Source organism: Homo sapiens, chromosome 10, assembly GCF_000001405.40.
Source record: "Homo sapiens chromosome 10, GRCh38.p14 Primary Assembly".
NCBI classification, from domain to species: Eukaryota; Metazoa; Chordata; class Mammalia; order Primates; family Hominidae; genus Homo; species Homo sapiens.
In genome coordinates this window covers 34,774,970-34,796,883 of record NC_000010.11, presented here as the reverse complement: position 1 = coordinate 34,796,883, position 21,914 = coordinate 34,774,970, and the positions used below count along the sequence as shown (strand labels likewise).

Here is a 21,914-nt window from a genome sequence, read left to right as displayed (position 1 = left end):
CCTCCCGAGTAGCTGGGATTACAGGCATGCACCACCATGCCTGGCTAATTTTTGTATTTTTAGTAGAGACGGGGTTTTGCCATTTTGGCCAGGCTGGCCTTGAACTCCTAACCTCAGGTGATCCACTCGCCTCGGCCTCCCAGAGTGCTGGGATTACAAGCGTGAACCACTACATCTGGCCAGGAAATAATTTCTTCAAGGGTACTTTCAGGGCTGCAAAGTGCAGTTCTTTGAAATACTATTTTAAAATATTTTCTTCAAATCTACTGCAACTATGGGAACTGACTAGTACTGAATTTTATAGACCTGATAGAAATTACTCTAAAGACATAATGTGTCTGATAGTAATGTCCATGTAAGAATTTTAAAAATAATATTCAGCAGTTTCAAATAACACTTAACCCCAAGTTGATAGTAAAAATGTTTTTTGAACCCTAGTTTATATTTAGGTGTTGCTGCATAACCAACCCAAAACTTAATGGCTTAAATAAACAATGATTTAATTATATCTCATGATTTTGTGGGCCAGGAATTTGGGCAGGGCTCAGCTGGGTTATTCTTCCGTGCCACTTGGGGTTACTTGCATGTATTTACCTGGCAGATGATGACCTGGCCTGGAAAATCCTAGATGGCTCCATTCATATATCTGGTGTTTGGTGGGGGTAACTAACTAGAATGTTGGGCTCAGCTGGGACTTTTTTTTGTTTTTGTTTTTTCAGGTTCATAGTTTATTGTACAAATTGAATTATCACATGATGAGTTGACATTAGCTTTTCCATGGAACTTAGATTAGCATGGGAATTTAACAGATGAGGCACAGTTTGGAACCCATTTATACTGCTTTCACAGCTGGAGTTTTTAAAGATCTTAACTTGAAGTGTAAGATCATGAAAGCAATGTCTCTATGTGTCAATTCATCCCACCTGTGTGAGTATAAGAGTTGACTTTTTAATTTTTTTATTTATGTTATGTTATGTTATGTTATTTTTGAGATGGAGTTTCACTCTTGTTGCCCAGGCTGGAGTGCAATGGCACGATCTCAGCTCACTACAACCTCCACCTCATGGGTTCAAGCGATTCTCCTGCCTCAGCCTCCTGAGTAGCTGGGATTACAGGCATGCACCACCACGCCTGACTGATTTTGTATTTTTAGCAGAGATGGAGTTTCTCCATGTTGGTCAGGCTGGTCTTGAACTCCCTACCTCAGGTGATCCGCCCACCTTGGCCAAAGTGCTGGGATTGCAGGCGTGAGCCACCACGCCCGGTTTTTTTTTGAGACAGGGTCTTGCTCTGTTGCCCAGGCTGGAGTACAGTGGTGCAGTCAGCTCACTACAGCCTCAAAATGCTGGGCTCAAGTGATTCTCCCACCTCTCAGCCTCCCGAGTAGCAGGGACTACAGATGCGTGCCACCATGCCTGGCTAATTTTTGAATTTATGTAGAGATAGGGTCATACTATGTTGCCCAGGCTGGTCACAAATTCCTGGGCTTAAGTGAGGCTCTTCCTTTGGCCTCTCAAAGTGCTGAGATTATAGGTATGAACTACCATGCCTGCTCTGAAATACGTTTTACTACCAGTGAACTGGAATTGGGCATCTCCCTCCGGACCTGCCGTGATTTTAATCTTGCCAAAGCCACAATCAATCCCACAGCCAGTGTCCTTCAGTGCAAGCAACCCTCAGGTGGGACTTGTTGACTGGAGCACCTGCATGTGGTGTCTCCAGCATAGAGGCTTCCGGATGGTTGGACTTCTTGTACTGTGGCTCAGGGCTCCTGGACAGTATCCCAAGAGTCAGGAAGAAGCAGCTGTCACTCTCTCAAGTTTTAGACCTGGAAGACAGCACAGCTTTATTGTCCCTGTATTCTATTTGCCAAATTAGTCAGTAAGCCTGCCTAGGTTCAGGGCAGGGCATGCAGACTCCACTTGTCAGTGTGAGGAGTGTCCAAGGCCTTGTGGTCATCTTTATTCTGCCATAGATACGTGTGTATGTGCGCATATGCGTGTGTATCACATATAACATCAAACATTTTTTTTTATTGTTATGTGTCATGTTTCAAAGTCATCTTTTTCTTGATCTGGGCAAGGGCAATAAAATGTATGTCCTGAACTTTTGAAGCTGACAAACTTAAGAAGTAGTTTGTGTTCATATTTCATGAGCCCAAAGATCTAACAACTTTCCCAGGCTATGTGGTAGAAAGAGATAATGATAATAACATCTTAGGTTTATGTGGCATCTTCTAAGAGGTTCAAAGTGGTGGTTCCACTCATTTCTTTATGGGAATATACTGTGAAGTCCATAAGCAGTAGTACCCCCAAGTTCATACACAGAGGTGGGAATGCAGTAATTTCATCATTCTACTAATGAACAGTGTTCAGAAGGCAGTTCTTGTAGTGATCTGTTTACTGATAGAACTTCTGTGAATCTGCCTTTCTTAGATAAGATTTTGGAAAATGATAGAAATTAACTTTTGTGTGCCTGGTAATACATAATATACTATTTATCAAAGAGATGTCATATTTGAAGAAGAGTCAGTTATTTTTCTGAAGTGAAATTCTTTGGGGGAGAAGTTTTAGAGGTATGGCATTGCAGGGATGTCTGTAGTAGATTAAAAAGTCTACATCCTCAGCAGAGGCAGAAAAATACAGTGGAAAGGGTATAGGTGGTTATGTGGCCATCCCTGTACTGAGTATATGGCCAGGACTGAGGGTGACACTGCAAGTGGAAACCCTTGTCCCCTTGTGATATCTGTTCATGAGTCCCCCCAACCCCCACCCCCCGCTGACTGTGGGAGTGTCTCTTTGTACTTACGGGAGATTGAATGGAGTTTTCAAGTATAATTCAACCATATGTTGAGTTTGCTTACCTTTGCTGTTTAGAGCTTATCCTTTGAGTAAGGTGCAAGTCGACTGTAAATGTGGTATTACTTAAATACATTCCATTTTTCTTAAAATGAGATACTTTACCTCTAATTGAAGGTATCAGGGGATAAACAGTTTTTCAGGCACCATTTGTTATGGATTATCTCCTGGTTCATGAATATTGCATTCTTATGTGAAGTGATCCACCCTTCATGTTTCCCCAGAGTAAAATTTTTTTTTTTTTTTTGAGATGGAGTTTCACTCTTGTTGCCCAGGCAATGGCGCAGTCTTGGCTCACTGCAACCTCCGCCTCCCAGGTTCAAGCAATTCTCCTGCCTCAGACTCCCAAGTAGCAGGGATTATAGGCGTGTGCCACCACGCCCAGCTAATTTTGCATTTTTAGTAGAGATGGGGTTTCTCCATGTTGGTCAGGCTGGTCTCAAACTCCTGACCTCAGGTGATCTGGCTGCCTTGGCCTCCCAAAGTGCCGGGATTACAGGTGTGAGGCACCGTGCCCAGCCTTCCCAGAGTAAACTTTCTAAGGATGGCTTTTATATCCCTGACTAGTACAGAGAACTCCATGGGTTCTGTGTGGTTTTCCAAGTAGAATTCAAATTTATCAGCCTGAAAACTGACCCCAGCCTGCCCTCTTCTCTTTACCGCCACGACCCCTTCCTTCCCTCTCCCTGATCATGGCAGAACTGACTCTCACTGCTGCCCTGGAGTCCTACTGCCCTCCAGCTCCCTTGTGTTCGTGAGTTGTCCCTGGCCTGGGATACTCTGCCCCTCCTTTTCCCTCTCCTCTTGGCTCTCCCATTTTTTCATCTGCACTGCTGCCAGAGCTGTGCTTTTTGTTCAGAAAGCTCTTTGTGGCCTCTGCGACGGCCCCCCGGCTCCCCAGGTGGGCTCAAGGCTGACTGCACCACCCTGGGCTTCTCAGTGCCACACCAAGTGCCACTGCTGGAGCCCACACCTGCAGTCCCTGCTGCAGCCCCAGGCATTGTCCAGATGGTGCCTTTGCGGATTCTCCACCCACAACCCAGGGAGATGCAAAAGTAGATTATGTTGAATTCAAGGTATATAAAGAATCACTGTACAAACATGTGCTTTTTGAAAGGAAGTTACTCCGATAATTTTGACCGTGTTATTACATGTTTTATTAGTTGTAAATAATTAAAAGTGGATGAACATTTAAGAGCGAGTGAGCTGATACCATCAAGGAGGATTTCTGCAGTCTCCTTCTTTGGCGAGGGTGTTCACCCAGCAGCCTGTAGGCATGAGCAGTGCCTGGAGTCCTCTGCTTTCTGCTGCCAAATTTGCTGCTGCACAGGTCACTGTAGACCTCCTGGGTGCAGGTGCAGCTCCAGCGGGTGGCGACTTGTTCCTAGGTAGACAGAACAGGGGGACATGTATCCTTGTGGGAAAACAGTGTACTTGAGAACTGCAGGGCAGTCACGACTAATGCTGTTATTAAGAAATACTCCTGGCTTTGTGACTCTGGGTGTTTTTAATCTTTTATAATTAAACATAAGTGAATATTGAGGTGTATTTTAGCATTTGCTGTACTCTGCTAAGTAGAGTTTGTGACGTGTTGATAATGGGAGAATGGGTGCTACTGTAGTAAAGAAAAACAGAGAGCTGGTGCTGGGTGCGGTACCTGTGCCTGAAGTCCCAGTGCTTTGGGAGGCTGAGGCAGGCGCGTCGCTTGAGGCCAGGAGTGTGAGACCTGCCGGGGCAACACAGCGAGACCTTGTACTTTTCTTCCTACAGGGAAGAGCCTGTAGACTCTATTCTGTCTCCACAGGTCTTCTCCCACCCAGCGTTGGGTGGAGCCAGAGAGCTCCGCAAAGAGCACGTGGGCGCACGTCCGGGGAGAGCTAGGGGTGCACAGGTCCGGGGCAAGCACGTGGGCGCGCATCCTGAGGCAGGAACAGGGCGCATATCTGAGCAAGCGAGCACCTGGGCGCATGTCACGAGGCGAGCACGTGATGCATCCTGGGAGGTGGCCGAGGGAGGCTCAGGAGAGATTGGAGTGGAGTTGAAAAAGCAGGAAGCAGAGAGGGAAGTCCGTGTGTAACAAAACATTCAGTTTGTAGGCCCTTGGGTCAGAGGAGGTGACAGCCATAATTTTGGCTCCCTGGGAAGGGTCTCAGGCAGTGTCCTGATTTTTTTTTTTTTTTTTAAACGAGGCAGGGTCTGACTGTGTCTCCTTAGCTAGGGTGCAGTGGTGCAATCACAGCTCACTGTAGCCTCGACCTCCTGGGCTCCAGTGGTCCTCCCACTTCTGCCACTCGAAGTGCTAGGACTACAGTGACTAATTTAAACAATTTTTTTTTGTAGAGATGGGGTTTTGAATCCCTGGCCTCAGGCGATTGTCACAGCTGGGCCTCCCAAGGCACTGGGACTCTAGGCGCTCACTACCACACCTGGCTCTGACGGGTTGAGGCTGTGGGGACCTGGCTCTTTCACTGTCCTTCTTTGCCACATGTCCCCGCGTCTTGTCTCTTCTCGTGAGGGCTGAAGCCATCCTTTGGAGGAGCTCAGGAGCTTGTCCTCTTTATCCAGGGCTCGGTGTTGGCTTCGAGCCGGCTTCCTGGGGAGGAGGCCCCGGCCTGGTCCCGGGCTTGGTGATGACGCTGCCCACAGTGGGATGCTGGGGAGCTTTGGAGCCTTGGTTTTGCGGCTGCCAGCAGTGTGGTGGAGCATCGAGAGGGACGCAGGTGATGAGACTCAGGCCAGTGGCTTCTACCTGGGACTGTCAGGGTTGCCTGCGTTGGCTGTTGGCTCCCTATGTAGCTGCTGCTCGTTGGTGACGGGTACAAGCGTCAGTGCTTCTCACTCAGGGCAGTGTAGAATGTTACACAGTGATAGTTTATGTCTAGCCAGGTTTTGAATGCTCTTACTGGAAACAGTCATATTTCCTATTATCTAACTGAATAGAGAAGTAAGCAGTTGAGAATACAGTTGGGCTGCACTTGTCTTTTTTTCCAAGTGAGTTATTTTGTATTTTTTGATACTCTGAAATGATCAGTAAGTGTGTGTGTCTGTGTGTGAGCCCATGTGCGTGCCACGCATGCGCTTCCCTGTGCATGCGTGTAGGAGGCTGGGATGGAAGGGATGGCCATAACTGACTGTTGGAATTTCCAGGAAAGGCTTGGAATTTATTTTTGGGTCACAGGCCATTTTTTTGGTTTCTTTCAAGCACTAAATGATTTTTTTATGTAACTTCACAGATTAAAGAAATGCAGTCAGTTTTTGTATGACTTAGTAAATCTTAAGGAAAAAACCCTACTTACATTAGGATACATTTGCTGGAATATTTACACAAATCTTACAATAAAACTTTTCATCTTTTAAAATTTTTTATCAACTCAGCCATAACTTATTTATTTTTTGCTTCATTTTAAAGAGAATACTCATTCTTTTTTTCCTCTTTCCTGGTACTTCAGCTTCTCATTTGCTTGCAGCCTCTGCATTGCATGGATGCTGGTTTTTCAGCAGTTCTGGCCCTAACAGAAGCATCCTAAGGATAGGAGGATTTCAGTCTGGGCTTGCTAGCCTTATCAGGGGGAGAGCAGAGTTGCTAAGTTTCCATTCTCTGTCACTTTCAGTTACTCTGCTGTGGCTGCTCAGTGCTGTTCCCAGTGAAATAATTTTAGCATATTTTTTCCTCTTGTTTCTGCATCAGCGTCATTACTGTTCATGCCTCCCTGGGGATCAGACTGATTGGTAAATTAGTGCCAGCAGAGGAAGTAGAAGACAATGTGTGAGCGTGTTTTATTTAAACACATACACTCTACAATTTGTTTTATTGGATTTTGTCCTTTGAGAACACCACAAGTAATCCCATTACAGTCTAGAAACTGCTTGCTCACCACGCCTCCACCTTTGAAAGCACATAAGTCTTTAATAAATGAGGCAATTTCCAGATTCATCAATAATTAACCCAGAACATGACAAGTTTTATCACAACTCAAAGCTTTCCCATGATTCAAACGGTCTGCTCCTGCCACTGAATTGTCTGTATAGTTTCTGGTTCAGCTTCCCAGAGCTCAGGATTCTGCCATGGAGACACTGGTTTGAGCAAGCATACTGGATGTTTTCTTGAAAAATGTTAAGCTTTAATTGTTTATAATAAAATAAATTCATACTTATTGTAGGAAATGTGGCCAGCACAGATGATTTTAAAGAAGATAGTAAACACCCATATTCTTACCACCCAGAATAATCTACAAAAGAGCATTTCTTTCATTTCTTTGCATTCTTTCTGTTTGTTTGTGTATATATAAATACAAATGCTTATTTTTTTGGGGGGGCGGGTGGTAACAGGATCTTGCTCTGTTGCCCAGGTTAGAGTGCAGTGGTGCTATCAGAGCTCATGGTGGACTTGACCTCCTGGGCTCCAGTGATCCTCTTGCCTCAGCCTACTGAGTAGCTGGAACTACAGACACATGTCATCATGCCTGGCTAACTTTTTGTATTTTTTTTTTTGTAGAGACAGGGTCTCAGCATGCTGCCCAGGCTGATCTTGAACTCCTGGCCTCAGACGATCCTCCTGTCTTGGCCAGCCAAAGTGTTTCGATTACAGGTGTGAGTCATGGCACCTGACCAAATGCTTTTAAAAATATTGATAATTGAAATCATAATGCATACACAGTTGTTCCTAGTTACTTTACTTAATTTATCGGTGTCTTCCCATGTCTCGCAAAAATTTTGGTAATTTTTTTCCTTTTTGAGACAAAGTCTCTGTCGCCCAGGCTGGAGTGCTGCGGCACAATTCTTCATGGCTCACTGCGGCCTCGGCCTCCTGGGCTCCAGCCATTTTCCTGCCTTGGCCTCCAGTAGTGCTGGGATTATGGGCGTGAGCCACTGTGCCCAGCCCATAATACTTTTTAGAGGTCGTATAGCACTTCATTATGTGGATATACAAGTATTAACCTAGTTAACTATTGTTGGGAAGTTAATTAATTTTCTCATTTTTCATCATTTAAAATATTGTAATAATCTTAGTGTATATTATTGACAAGTTTTCTGAAGTATAATTATTGGATAGGAAATTATGAACATTTCAAGGCCCTCAGTTTCTGCACTTGGCCAGTTTGCTTTCCAGATGGGGTGTGCCAGTGTATACCTGGCCTGCATGGGAGAGTGCTCTCTGCCTCTGCCAAGGAGGGGACCTCCTGGGTCAGTAGGTGATGGTGCTGCCACTGTTTTTGCAGCCGTTGTTGAGTGGCTGGGCCCAGGACTGCAGTCTCCAGTCTCATTTTGATCATATGTTAGTGGAGCTGTAATACCCTCTTCTCCTTGAAGATTGTATGAGAGATACATATGTAAAGAACCAGACCTACAAGAGATCGAGACCGTCCTGGCCAACATGGTGAAACCTTGTCTCTACTGAAAATACAAAAATTAGCTGGGCATGGTGGTGCATGCCTGTAGTCCCAGCTACTTGGGAGGCCAAGGCAGGAGAATCACTTGAACCCAGGAGGCGGAGTTTGCAGTGAGCCGCGATCGTGCCACTGCACTCCAGCTTGGGTGACAGAGCAAGACTGTGTCTCAGGAAAAAAAAAAAAAAGAACTGGACCTAGAGCTTGGCCCAGGTAGGCAGTGGCTGCGTGGTAGATGCGGTGGTGGTGGTGGCTGATCTTATATCAGGTGTTTAGAGTCGTCCATGTTAATGGAGCAGAGTGCTGAGTTGGGAGATGACATCAACTGGTCCTGCGCTTTCTGGGTGACACACAAAGTGCTTCTTTGAACTGGGGTTCTGTAGAAAATAGTTTGGAAAGCAATGTGTAATATTAATTTTTTTCTTTCCTGAGAATGTTACATGGAGTGAAATTCAAAAGTTTCCTGATGTCTAGATAACTTCCTATCTGTCCACGTGGTCTTGTAAGACCCTTGCATGAGCCTGTCCCATTTGTGCTTTATAAATGCATGCTGGGGCTGGGGCGACGTTACTTATACCTGTAGTCCCAACACTTTCGGAGGCCAAAGCAGGAGGATTGCTTGAAGCCAGGAATTCGCTAGCCACCTGGATGGCATAACAAGACCCTGTCTCTACAAAAAAAAAAAAAAAATTAGCTGGGCATGGTGGTTGTGTTCCTTCAGTCCTAGCTACTCAGGAGGCTGAGTTGGGAGAATTGCTTGAGCCTAGGAGTTTGAGGCTGCAGAGAGCTCTGGTTGCGCCACTGTACACCAGAGCCTGGGCAACAGAGTGACACCCTGTCTCAAAAGTAAAAAAAAAAAAAAAAGGATGTTGGTTGCCCATTTGCTGTGTGCCTTGGGTGTGGACATTTTTCATATATTTTCTCCTAGCCTGACTGGATTATGACTATGACGGTTATCTTTTCTCCCCTTCAAGACATACACATGTAATTTGCTTTTTCAGTCTTCAGGGATTGCTTCCATCTTTAACGAGATATAAAAATGCTGAGTACCTCTCTGCAGCATTGTTTGTGCTGCTGCTCAAATGCTCTGCAGCCTTACTGAGACCAGCTGTAAAGAGCATCTGCCCTTAGCATTTTCCTTGACAAGTCTTGCTTGGCTGCTCACCTTCTTACGGACGTGGGTAACTTCATCTGGTTATCTGATTAGTACCTTGTCTTTCCTTAAGACTCTGCCATTTTGGAATTATTATTATTGTTTTTGAGATGGAGTCTCACTCTGTTGCCCAGGCTGGAGTGCAGTGGCGCGATCTTGGCTCACTGCAACCTTCGCCTCCTGGGTTCAAGCAATTCTCCTGCCTCAGCCTCCTGAGTAGCTGGGATTACAGGCGCCCGCCACCACACCCAGCTAATTTCTGTATTGTTAGTAGAGTTGGGGTTTTTCCACATTGGTCAGCTGGTCTCCAACTCCTGACCTCGTGATCTGCCTGCCTCGGCCTCCCAAAGTGCTGGGATTACAGGCGTGAGCCACTGTGCCTGGCCTATCTTTATATTCTTGGTGTATAGTAGATTCATAGGGATTTTTGCTAAGTCTCTAAGGATTGATAAAAGATGTAAAAGATCTAGCAGTTTTCTGGTTACTTGACTTTTGAGCTGGATGTGGTGCTAATTTTTAGACTAGTCGTTTTAGATAACATGTGTTTAGAGCATTGCAACTGTCTATCTACCAGTTTTTTTGTTTGATCTACCTAAAATAATGATCTCTTTGAACTCTGCATGCCATTTTTGGCCTTCCAAAAACCAAATCTATATATGTATATTGGAAAAGAAATATATGTAGGATCCTAAAACTCATTTTTCAGTTTTTAAAAGGCCCCTAGTAAGCAGTAAGTGTCAGGAGTGGATAAATTTTAAGTGGCTTTTTACAGAGTACTTAAATAGAAACATTAATTGGATCAGTGTGTGGATCTCATGGAGATCTGTCCCTGTCATACGCTGGCAGGCACATTCCATTTCTTTCTAATCCCCAGATGTAATAAGATGCCTGGGTCTGTGGTTACTTGCATTTGCCATTCATAAAATTGCTGATCAGTCCTCCCAGGTGGCACTGTTGTTTATAAGGCTGTTCAAAATGTCAGTGGACTTCTGCCATCCCTAAGAGCCTCCTTGTTATTTCTCTTATGGGGCCTAACTGCTGTAAAATATGTATTTTAACATCTAGTGGGATATATTTCTTTGTTTCTTTGGGCTATTCCTTCATCATCTGTTGACCACTTTTAGTCAATAGTTATGGGTCAAAGCTTTGGCCAGAACACAAAATACTTGATAGGAAGAGTCATTGTGAGAATAAATAACATGTAGTGGAAACTCTGACATTGGGATGGGACATTGAGTGGGCTCATCTGCTGAGAATATTTGCAAGATGGAGCTTCCACAGAGCCTCATGGGCAAAGCCTAAAGAGATGAGTTAGCTGGGTGAGAGGGAAAAAGTAAGTTGTCAGAGTTCTGTATTTCATATGTGATTTCGTTTGTATGTCTGCCTCTGTCTGTTGACATTACGTCACTGATTATTGGCTTTACCACACACATGAGTGAAGAAGAGGAAGATGCGCAGGGTGGGGAGAAATGCAGGGAAGACACTGTTCCTTTTTTTTGAGACAGGGTCTTACTCTGTCACCCAGGAGATGACACGTAACTACATCAACTGGTCCTACATTTTCAGGCGAACATACAAAGTGCTTCTTTGAACTAGGGTTCTGTATAAAATAGTTTGAAGAGCAATGTATAGTATTAATTTTTTTTTCTTCTCTGGAATGTTACGTGGAGTGAAATTCAAAAGTTTCCTAATGTCTAGATAAATTTCTCTCTGTCCACACGGTCCGCCCATGTCTTATAAGACCTTCACATGAGCCTGTCCCATTTGTGCCTTATAAATGCACATTAGTGATGTGATCTCTGCTCACTGCAGCTTTGAAATCCTGGGCTCAGGCAATCCTCCCACCTCAGCCTCTCGAATAGCTGGGACTACAGGCATGCACCACCATGCCTGGCTAATTTTTTTGTAGACATGGTCTCGCCGTGTTACCCAGGCTGGTCTCTAACTCTTGGGCTCAAGCAATCTGCCTGCCTCAGCCTCCCAAAGTGCTGGGATTACAGACGTGAGCCACTGTGCCTGGACTCTTTTTCTTTCTAAAAAAAAAAAGTATGATGCAAAAAATGCTTTTACTTCAAGAAGATTATTCTGTACTTCAAGAGTATAAGTTGCAAAATGCAAAATTAAGGATATAAAATTGTGGATTTATATTTCTGGGGTTTCAAAAGCATAAATGTGTGATACATGTGCAGGTTTTTGGATATTGAGGTTTTTTGAGATTTGAAAAACCATTTATTTTTTAAAAGATAAAGTTATATCTCATTTGTGTGTTTAAACAAAAAGTATAACATCTCAGATAGCTTTGCATAGACAGAAAGATTAATGACATTCCTGCATGAGGCATTAGCAATTATTTTCCCTGTAATCGTCCTTAGAACTCTTTGTCTAGTAGTCCACATATAGAATTTTTCTGCAGCACATATATTAAGTAATCAGTTTAATATTTGTTCCTATAAATTAAATAAATTCCAGTATCCTTTTTAGCCATTTCCAGCAGTCTAAGGCAGGGAGGAAACTTAGTGATGAGATTTCTGGCACTAACTTTTCAAAGAGGACATTAAGAGGTGAAAATGGGAATGAATGCTAGAAAAATGACTGTTGTACATCACAGCAGGGAGGTTTTGCGCTGATGAACAGTGATGTTTCCGCTTGACAGTGTGAGGATATTTAACTTTCCCAGCCTTCCACAAGATGAGAAGGGATGAAGAGACGGGGAAAAAAGGGGAAGAAAATCCTTAAAAAAGTATATTGGGGCCGGGCACGGTGGCTCACGCCTGCAGTCCCAGCACTTTAGGAGGCTGAGGCGGGCGGATCGCTTGAGGTCAGGAGTTCGAGACCAGCCTGGCCAACATGGCAAAACCCTGTCTCTACTAAAATTACAAGAATTAGCCTGGCATGGTGGCGTGTGCCTGTAATCCCAACTTGGGAGGCTGAGGCAGGAGAATCGCTTGAACCTGGGAGGCAGAGGTTGCAGTGAGCCAAGATTACACCACTGCACTCCAGCCTGGGCGACAGAGTGAGACTCCGTCTCCAAAAAAAAAAAAAGTATGTTGGAAAATACCAGGAGAGTGTTTATCTCCACTTTGCCCTACTCTTGTTAGTATTCACATCTTCATTGGGGAATGTAAAAGATCCTAAAACATGTGGGTCTTTTTTTCTCCTTCTGTCTCACATGGGGCTGCAGTTTTCTTTCTTTACTCTTTTATATATTGCTATTTATATTTTATGACTTGGAATACTATTAACTTTTTAGAATACTGATGTTTTTATTTTATTTTTTGAGACAAGTTCTCTCCATCACCCAGGATGGAGTACAGTGGCGTGGTCACAGCTCACTGCAGCCTCCACCACCCCAGCTCTAGCAATCCTCCTGCCTCAGCCTCCCAAGTAGCCGGGACTACAGGCGTGTATCACCATGCCTGGCTAATTTTTAAGAAGTTTTTTGTAGAGACATGGTCTCTTTATGTTGCCCAGGCTCATCTCAAACTCTTGGACTCAAATGATTCTCCTGCTCAGCCTGTTAAAGTACTGGGTCTACAGCCGTGAGCCACTGTACCTGGCCTAGAATACTGATTTTAAATGACAGAATGATAGTTATAAAACTGTGAAAGTTTGAAAAACCACTTAATGAGTTGCTGTTACATATATAGTCTAGTTCCAAGTAGTTAGAAAAAAAAATGCACTAAGTGATTTGGCAACGTACTAAGCCAATAATAGTATTTGCTTTGGAGTAATGGGATTATGGGTTGTTCTCCCTTTTTTTCTTTCTAAAGTTTTTATGATGTGGTTGATTATACTTTTGTGACAAAACTGTATAATCACTTGTTTTTATTATAAATGTGCAAGAGGACTTACATTCTTTTTTTTTTTTTTTTTTTTTTTTTGAAGACGGAGTCTCGTTCTGTCGCCCAGGCTGGAGCACAGTGGCGTGATCTCAACTCACTGCAAGCTCCGCCTCCCGGGTTCACGCCATTCTCCTGCCTCAGCCTCCTGAGTAGCTGGGATTACAGGCGCCCGCCACCACGCCCAGCTAATTTTTTGTATTTTTAGTGAAGACGGGGTTTCACCATGTTAGCCAGGATGGTCTCGATCTCCTGACCTTGTGATCTGCCCGCCTCGGCCTCCGAAAGTGCTGGGATTACAGGCGTGAGCCACTGTGCCTGGCCGAGGACTTATATCCTTAAATGATTAAAATATATCCTGAGGCAAAACTATTCCAAATAAAAATGGAGGCCAATCAGAAATATTTAAAAATTCAGATAAATGTATTTTAGAGAGTGTATTTAGAAACCCAGTTTCTAGATCAGAGTGCCATCATTCAGTGTGTTATACTCCCAAATTAATGCTTTTTACCTATTGTCCCTTGGATTAAGTAAATTCAACTTGACTCAACTAAATCTTAAGGTTTGACACCCTGACAAACATGTCTTAAAATGTTTTAAAGTACATAAGATTTAAAACCTTGGCCAGGCATGGTGGCTCACGCCTGTAATCCTAGCACTTTGAGAGGTCGAGGTAGGTGGATCATCTGAGGTCAGGAGTTCGAGACCAGCCTGGCCAACATGGTGAAACCCGTTTCTACTAAAAATACAAAAATAACTGGGTGTAGTGGTGCATGCCTGTAATCCCAGCTACCTGGGAGGCTGGGGCAGGAGAATTGCTGGAACCCGGGAGGCAGAGGCTGCAGTGAGCCAAGATCACGCCACTACACTCTAGCCTGGGTGACAGAGCAAGACTCAGTCTCAAAAAAAAAAGAAAAAAAAAAAACTTTCCTAATGTTTGTATATTCTCACGTTAAGTCCTTCTTGGAATAAAGTTGGTGTAGAGTGGGGATGGGAGAAAAATTAATCTCCGTAAGTTGCTGGGGTAGAGGTAACAGTGTTTTATGTGTAGAGGAAATAATGTCTACTGTTAAGTCTTTCGATCAGCCAAAAGTGGAGTGGATAGTGCTTAAAATGTTTTGATGTCGTTGTGAGGATTAAAGTTATTTAAAAAGAATGGATGTGGAGTTGATTTTAACATTTTGGGATTAAGAAGGGTGGAGAGTTCTCACTGGAGGTTGTTTGATGTGCCCTAAGGCTGGTTGAGCACCTCTGGCTGCCTCTGAGCATGTTGCAGTCCCCTGTCAAGATTCCCTGGGTAACCTTTCTAAAATTTTGCTCCAGCGCCCAGTGGAGGAGGCTGGATTCTGCCTCTGCTGTCTTAGAACTTCAGTCTTTCCTTACAGGTATAGCTCTCTTCATACACACTGCTTGACTGCAATGTGTTCAGGTTACATGCTGTCCTTAAATCAGGCCTCCATAATTTCTTGGCAGCTTTCCTTTTGCAATCAAATTAGCACTTGGGTCTAGAAGCCAGTTAGGATGATTGGAAGAAAAAAATTACAGATGGTTAAAATTGGGTCAAAGTGCACTTCCTTACTCTGTTCTCTTTACAAGTTAAAAATATCTAAAAAATCATTGCAGCTGTGTCAGCATTTCTCAGTAGGTGCCAGATTTAGGTACTACCTTTCAGAATGTTTATGTACTGTGAAGGGGAAAATCCATTAATTATACAGTTCTGTTTGTCTAAAACGTTCAAGAACATTTCCACTGCCCTCTGCATGTTTGTGATTTTTGGGCCATTCAGTTCAGTCTGGATTATCCGATAGAGCACAGTGTTCTGTCATTGGTTCAGGCATTTGGCTGTCTTACCCCACAGAACTGTGTGTTCTAGGTCGGGGGCAATATTTTATATCTTTTACACTCTGTGTATAGTGCTGAGCATGTTACAGTTGGAAACTGTTAATTAATTTTTGTTCTATTTTCCTGCACTCAACTTTTCCTCCCAGAGGCCCCACCTGAATTTAAGAACAAATAAGTTATTATAAAGTCTTGTAGGAAAAGGCCTGGTATATTTAGAGAATCAGATCCAGCTGTCACCTACCATTCATACAGAACCATACTAACCTTTTCCTAAAAGTACCATCAGGCTGTTGGTTTTGTAAGTTTTCTTTCGTTCATTTTCCTTTTAAACCAAGCCTCATCTGTGAAAGGAGGCTGAAATCTGGCAGACCTCTTTATTATGCTCTATTTGTCCACATGTGGAAACCACCAGAAACCAGTAAAAAAGAATGGGAAGTGACCAAAGAGCAGACAGAAAATACCAGTTGCCCTAGGGAGCACCCAGCTCTTCCAAGGACTGCATGGGTCCTGGTCAGAGGGGCAAGTGAAATACCGCAGCTGCCTCCTGCAGAGGGGTATCTCTTTTACTTGTGAGCAGCGTCTGCAGCTGTGCAGGCTCTCAGCAGTGCTTAGTGTCAGCCATGTCCCTTGATTTATGCTCGTGTGAGCCTCTGCACATGTGGGTGCTCCAGCAGGCTAGAGGGGGGAGGGGTGCCCCAGGTCCCCAGAGGCACAGAGCTTTTTTTGGATACCGAGCCTGAGCTGAGAAGCGTGGGATGCAAGAGTGATGTCCTGCTCCAAGTTCAAGGAAAGTACAAAGTAAGCGGAAATGCATCCCTTCAAATAGAGGAAATCCCAAGTTGCTTTTATGTTTCCCGTTATAGCTGTGTGAAGTCATATCTTGAGGTTTAGCTTTCACGTTGAGTTTCAGCTGCTTTTTATGTGTGGCGTGGTGAATGTTAGTTTTCAGCATTTCCTTATTTCAGCGTATGTTGCCTCCGCACTGATTATTGTCCTTTGTTAGTTTAGAAGTCTTGTTTTATCCAGAGAAACAGAATAGGAAAATAACAGCAATTTTGAATGGCAGCTTCCCCTCCTTTTATGATAAAAAATACAGCTTCTGTAAAAAACTGCGGCAAGAGAAAAGAAAGGGCGTACTGTTGTCCCTGGGGATAAAATAGACAGGAGACCAAAGACTACATTTCTACTGAGCAGTGCTTTTATTAATGAATTCTGGTAGAGTTTTAACAGCAGGGCACGATTTCCTCCTATTGTGACTCCTGATGACCTCCAAGAAATAATTCCTGAATGTCACGCTCATAAGACATTTTTCTGATTATGGGCTTGTAATAATTAGATGTTTATCCCTAGAAAATATTGCCAACAAAAATTTATTAATAGTGCAAAGGAGGTGCTTATGCACCTTATTATGTAAATTGTTATTTTATATTCAACATCATTACAAACGTGTTTTGAGAGGGCTATTGAGATAGATCTCCAAGACATCTGCCGTAAACCAGTACTTGGACTTACAGCCAGTGCTCTCCACATCTCTATGGTAAGGAGCATTCAGGTCAGGAGGTAGAAATGGAAAACCAGGAAGGTATTTGGTGATTAGTTTGTGAAGTTAGTTGTGTCAAGAGCAAATTAATTTTTTTAATAAAATAAGTCTCAGCAATTTTAAAACCATTCATACAAAAGAAGCAGAGTTAAAATGGACTTCACAGTAGTTTCCATGGGGATTACCAGAAGGTGTAATGCATCTTCCGGGGAAAGAAGAAGATGGAGGGAAGTAGAATAGGATGGGGAATCGTAGAGAGTCACAGTTGATTTCAGGTGCCACTCGGTGGCATTACTGTCATTGTTTACTTCCGAGCATTTAGATCTACAGCTAGAAGGGACTCAGAGAAGACAGACCCAAGAAAATCACCAAGGAATTTGCCTGTGTATAGGACTTTGAAATGGACACGTCTCCTTGAAAGTGCCACGTTGGATGTCTCCAGGCATGGATCTTGTCTAGATGGCATTTGCAGTTTTGCATGCTTTGCTATTGAAATGTTCTAGCTAATGAATGTCTTCCACTGCCTGCCTGTGTGTGTCAGGTAATGCATCTTTCTTCACAGAAGGACTGAATTCAGAGGGTTTCTTGAAGAAAATTTAAAAGCTGGTGATATCTGCATAGTTGCTTTATTTTATTTTATTTTTGAGATGGAGTCACGCTGTGTCGCCCAGGCTGGAGTGCAGTGGCGTGATCTCGGCCCACTGCAAGCTCTGCCTCCCGGGTTCATGCCATTCTTCTGCCTCAGCCTCCCGAGTAGTTAGGACTACAGGAGCCCGCCACCATGCCTGGCTAATTTTTTTAATTTTTTTTTTATTTTTAGTGGAGACGGGGTTTCACCGTGTTAGCCAGGATGGTCTCGATCGCCTGATGTCGTGATCTGCTGGGCCTCGGCCTCCCAAAGTGCTGGGATTACAGGCGTGAGCCACCGCGCCCGGCTGCTTTATTTTATTTTATTTTTTGAGATGGAGTCTAGCTCTTTCACCCAGGCTGGAGTGCAGTGGCATGATCTTGGCTCACTGCAGCCTTCACCTCCCAGGTTCAAGCGATTCTCCTGCCTCAGCCTCCCGAGTACCTGGGATTACAGGTGTGCACCACCTGGCTAATTTTTGTATTTTTAGTAGAGACAGGGTTTCGCCATGTTGGCCAGGCTGGTCTTGAGCTCCTGACCCCAAGTGATCCGCCCACCTCGGCCTCCCAAAGTGCTGGGATTACAGGTATGAGTCACTGTGCCCAGCCTGCTTTAGTTTATTTGGATGGTGACTGTAACTTTAAACATATTAATACTGAACAACTAAATATACTATGTATGCTGAAGGATGCTAGATTTTTCTAAGTCAGAATCTGACAGCTTTCTCAGTTAGCTGCTGTTTGTCAGTCCTTTGTGAACAAAAATACTGGTCTACCTCATGTTAAGGAAACGATAGGTGAAATGAGATTTATTTAATCATACCAGGTATTTTAAACAGCCAGCTCTTTTTTTTGGCAAGCTCTTAATGTTATTAAAAACATAATTTGTCACTTAAGTCTTTTCAGCATACATATAGTTTCTTAGTCATGTAATTCATAAAATAGAATTTAGAGTTGAAAGGAACCTAAGAGGTCCCTTCTAAATGTGTAGATCTTCTGAACAGTGTAGAAATTTTCCTCCACCATGTCTCTGCTGGAGGATATTGTCTGTGGCCATGCACTTGGCACCTTTCAAGGCAGCCAATTCTAGGGAATAACATTTCTTATTGGAAAATGCTCTGTTGGCCTGATTGTTGCTGCATTTTCCCCCTTGTTAATTCATGTTTGCCATTTAGCAACACAAACGAAGTCTGTTCCCCTTCATTCATGATGCTCAGTTCTTAAAGCTGAGAACATGATGGTTAAGGCAGCACAGTGAAATTGCCAACTACTTGCCAAACAAGTGGATTTGAACCAGCCTTTGCCTCATTTCTGTCCTTGGCCCGAGGGATTTAGAATCCAGCAGACCGCAACCTTCCTCCCTATTTCCCCTGTCCATTTACAGATGAATACCTGGAGATACCACAAGCTTAAATGTCTTGCCTAAAGCCACACACATTGGCTTGGAGCTTAGTGAGTTTGTATTAGGTACTATAAGTGATTTAGAGCTGATTTAGAGTATACAAGAGGTTATATGCAAATGCTGCGCCATTTCATGTCAGGGAGTTAAGCATCCTTGGATTTTGGTATCCACAGGGATCCTGTAACTAATCCATTACGGATATGGAGGGACAGTGGTACCTCTGAAGGCTGCTGGAGGATAAAGCTCTAACTCAAGAGCCGTGGATGTGGTGGTAACTTGGCAGCAGTCTCTTTCCCAAAGGCCTCCTTGCGGGAGGGAGGGCAGTGCTCATCTTAATTTTCTGGTCTCTTTCCTAGACTCACCATCATTCCTCAGGGAATCAGTTGATTAATTAACAAATGCTTGGCTGGGTGAGGTGGCTCACACCTGTAATCCCAACACTTTGAGAGGCTGAGACAGGAGGATCATTTGAGCCCAGGAGTTCAAGACCAGCCTGGGAAACAAAGCAAAACCCCCATCTCTTAAAAAAAAAAAAAAATTAGCTGACTGTTGTAGTGCATGCCTGTAGTTCCAGCTACTCAGGAGGCTGAGGTGGGAGGATTGCTTGAGCTTGAGAGTTTGAGGCTGCAGCGATTGCACCACTGTATTCCAGCCTGGGTGACAGAGTGAGACCCTGTCTCTAAAAAATAAAAATTATCCAAATGTCTAATGAGCATCTACTGTATACCTGGTGCTGCACTGTGAGGATGCCCTCTAAGAGCCCCCTGTGCGGGGAGAGAGAGGTTGTATAAAATGTTTGCAAAGGTGGAAATGGAGTAGGAGACACATATGTGAGGACATGGGGCTGCAGGGAAGGCCTTCTCAACTCCTCTCAGGCTGATGGTGAGTTAGAGACCAGCCAGGGAAATTGACATCTGAGGCAGATCTGGCTGAGTCCACCAGGGGAAGAGGGTGGGATGGTGGAGGGAAGGGGCTTGAAGGACTGAGTGTAGAGTCCTTTGTCACATAGGAAGATGTCCGTGCTTTGTGAGCAGGCAGGAGTCTTCGAAGGTTCCAAAGCAGGGAAATGACATAAGACTACTGAAGGCCAGGCATGGTGGCTCACGCCTGTAGTCCCAGCACTTTGGGAGGCCGAAGTGGGTGGATCACGAGGTCAGGAGTTTGAGACCAGCCTGGCCAACATGGTGAAACCGTGTCTCTACTAAAGATACAAAAAAAAAAAAAAAAAAAAATTAGCCAGACATGGTGGCACATGCCTGTAAGTCCAGCTATTCAGGAGGCTGAGGCAGGAGAATCGCTTGAACTTGGGAGGCAGAGGTTGCAGTGAGCTGAGATTGTGCCATTGCACTCCAGCCTGGGCGACAGAGTGAGACTCCATCCCCCACCCGCCCCCCCCCCCCACAAAAAAACACGACTGAAAATACTTGGAAATAGTCTCCTTAATTTGTTTTTTTTTGTTTTCTTTTTCCACCAATGGTGGAATTCGGATGGGAGGAGGCTTCTAATTTTCTGCTCACAATGTTGTTCCTTCACTAGTTTGAAGATTCTTCTGTTGTGAAAGACCAAGAGAACATATGATTAGTTAATAGGAGCTGTATTCTATCTGTAGCTTATCTCTTCCTGGCCCCAAATATAGCTTAAAACCTTGCTGTCCTTCCTCTGCTTACTAAAAAAAAAAAAAAAATTGTTCAAGAACTTCAGCTAATTCTGGATTTGTCTTCTGACAAAGTTCCCTGTGGTTCATACCACATTTTTGTTTCCTCCCTGGCCATGTGCTGGCCCCTGAAGTGTTTAGATCTGCTGTTTTAAAAACTGAGCTCCCTAGCCAGTCAGATTAATTGCTTTGGATCATGCCATTCTGTCTTTCTCAGATTGTCGTATGTTAGTGTCTCCTGTGCCACATAAATAGTAATCTCTTGTAGGTGTCTGAGGTATATTTTTCTTGGACTTGTCAAAATTAGTTCTCAGAGCTTAGAGATGGTGTCCTGCTGGGTTTATTGTTCCCTTGTCTTCTTGTTACTAGTTCCAAAATTATATTCTCACTTTCTTCCAGGGTTCTTGGCTGCCTAACTGATCAATTCTTTTTTGGTCAGAGTTATGGATGAATTTTATTGGCTTCGTACTTTTCCAAAATTTCAACCATGAGCCTATAGGGTTGTATATATAAATTTTTAGTAGAGACAAGGTCTTACTGTGTTGCCCAGGCTGATCTCGAACTCCTGAGCTCAATCAATCCTTCTGCCTTGGTCTCCCGAAGTGCTGGGATTACAGGTGTAAGCCACCATGCCTGGCCATATATTACTTTGTAAAATGAACAAAGTTATTAATTGAAAAGCATGAAGGTGGTGAGGATGATAGCTTTGCTTATTGCTTTTTCAGAGGTGGGTCAAGAGTTCTTATGATATGTCTTTTAAATTCTAGAATAATACCTACAGATTTCTCTTTACATCTTGATTCTGTACAAATTTGTGTGGTTTAAAAAAATGAGAGAGTTCTCTCCACTTCTTTGGTTTCTTTAGGCAGTAAGTGACAAACTCTCATAGCAATACTTCATCTACTTTGCTTTCCTTTATATTTGCACCCAAATTTCTTCATTCTCTCACGCATATATCTCTTGTAGTAGATTGTTTGGACAAAGGGCACCTTGAACTGGCAGCCTTGCATTCTGCTTGCCTGCCCAGGCTTGGTCCTGTAAGGAGACTTGTCCTTTCTTTTTGTTTGTTTTTTGAGATAGGGTCTTGCTCTGATGTCCAGGCTGGAGTGCAGTTGTGCATCACAGCTCACTGCAGCCTCAAACTCCTGGGCTAAAGTGATCCTCCTGTCTCAGCCTCTCAAGTAGCTGGGACTGCAGGCACACACCACCATGCCTGGCTAGTTTTTTTGCAGAGATGAGGTCTTGCTTTGTTGCCCAGGCTGGTCTCAACTCCTGACCTCAAGCGATCCTCCTGCTTCAGCCTCCGAAACTGTTGGGATTACAGGTGTGAGCCACCATGCCTGACTGATTTGTTCCTTTTGGTGGTCAATCTTGGTTCAGTAGTATATAAATTTAGAGTGCTGCTGTATTTTGAGCAGCTGCTCTGTCATATGAGCTTGAAATATTGGGTTCTATGCTGCTTCTATGTTGTGTAAGTCTCCAAACTGAAAGGATTTGTGACTTTAAAAAATGCCCACTTTTGCTCATATTTTTTGTTTCCTTTATTTGTTTGGCACTTGTTTTCACAGCGGTGACTTCAGAGCACAATTACTGAGAAACCTTGAGTGTTGAT

At 43.7% G+C, this 21,914-nt stretch overlaps 1 protein-coding gene across 11 annotated transcripts in view, besides 6 other annotated features; it reads left to right on the top strand.

The window, feature by feature from the left end:
• Window positions 1-21,914, top strand: part of PARD3 (par-3 family cell polarity regulator) — a 705,736-nt gene that overhangs the window by 18,413 nt on the left and 665,409 nt on the right. The window lies entirely within an intron of this gene.
• Window positions 3,193-3,895: an enhancer, noted in NCBI's record as "H3K4me1 hESC enhancer chr10:35081917-35082619 (GRCh37/hg19 assembly coordinates)". NCBI's record gives its function as "activates a minimal SCP1, AML or CMV promoter by ChIP-STARR-seq in naive H9 embryonic stem cells {active_cell/tissue: H9 hESC(naive)}" and the evidence as "EXISTENCE:reporter gene assay evidence [ECO:0000049][PMID:30033119]".
• Window positions 3,896-4,598: an enhancer, noted in NCBI's record as "H3K27ac-H3K4me1 hESC enhancer chr10:35081214-35081916 (GRCh37/hg19 assembly coordinates)". NCBI's record gives its function as "activates a minimal SCP1, AML or CMV promoter by ChIP-STARR-seq in primed H9 embryonic stem cells {active_cell/tissue: H9 hESC(primed)}" and the evidence as "EXISTENCE:reporter gene assay evidence [ECO:0000049][PMID:30033119]".
• Window positions 15,503-15,562: an enhancer, noted in NCBI's record as "active region_3257". NCBI's record gives its function as "activates an Ori minimal core promoter by ATAC-STARR-seq in GM12878 lymphoblastoid cells {active_cell/tissue: GM12878}" and the evidence as "EXISTENCE:reporter gene assay evidence [ECO:0000049][PMID:35858748]".
• Window positions 15,773-15,902: an enhancer, noted in NCBI's record as "active region_3256". NCBI's record gives its function as "activates an Ori minimal core promoter by ATAC-STARR-seq in GM12878 lymphoblastoid cells {active_cell/tissue: GM12878}" and the evidence as "EXISTENCE:reporter gene assay evidence [ECO:0000049][PMID:35858748]".
• Window positions 17,037-17,537: an enhancer, noted in NCBI's record as "H3K4me1 hESC enhancer chr10:35068275-35068775 (GRCh37/hg19 assembly coordinates)". NCBI's record gives its function as "activates a minimal SCP1, AML or CMV promoter by ChIP-STARR-seq in naive H9 embryonic stem cells {active_cell/tissue: H9 hESC(naive)}" and the evidence as "EXISTENCE:reporter gene assay evidence [ECO:0000049][PMID:30033119]".
• Window positions 17,538-18,038: an enhancer, noted in NCBI's record as "H3K4me1 hESC enhancer chr10:35067774-35068274 (GRCh37/hg19 assembly coordinates)". NCBI's record gives its function as "activates a minimal SCP1, AML or CMV promoter by ChIP-STARR-seq in naive H9 embryonic stem cells {active_cell/tissue: H9 hESC(naive)}" and the evidence as "EXISTENCE:reporter gene assay evidence [ECO:0000049][PMID:30033119]".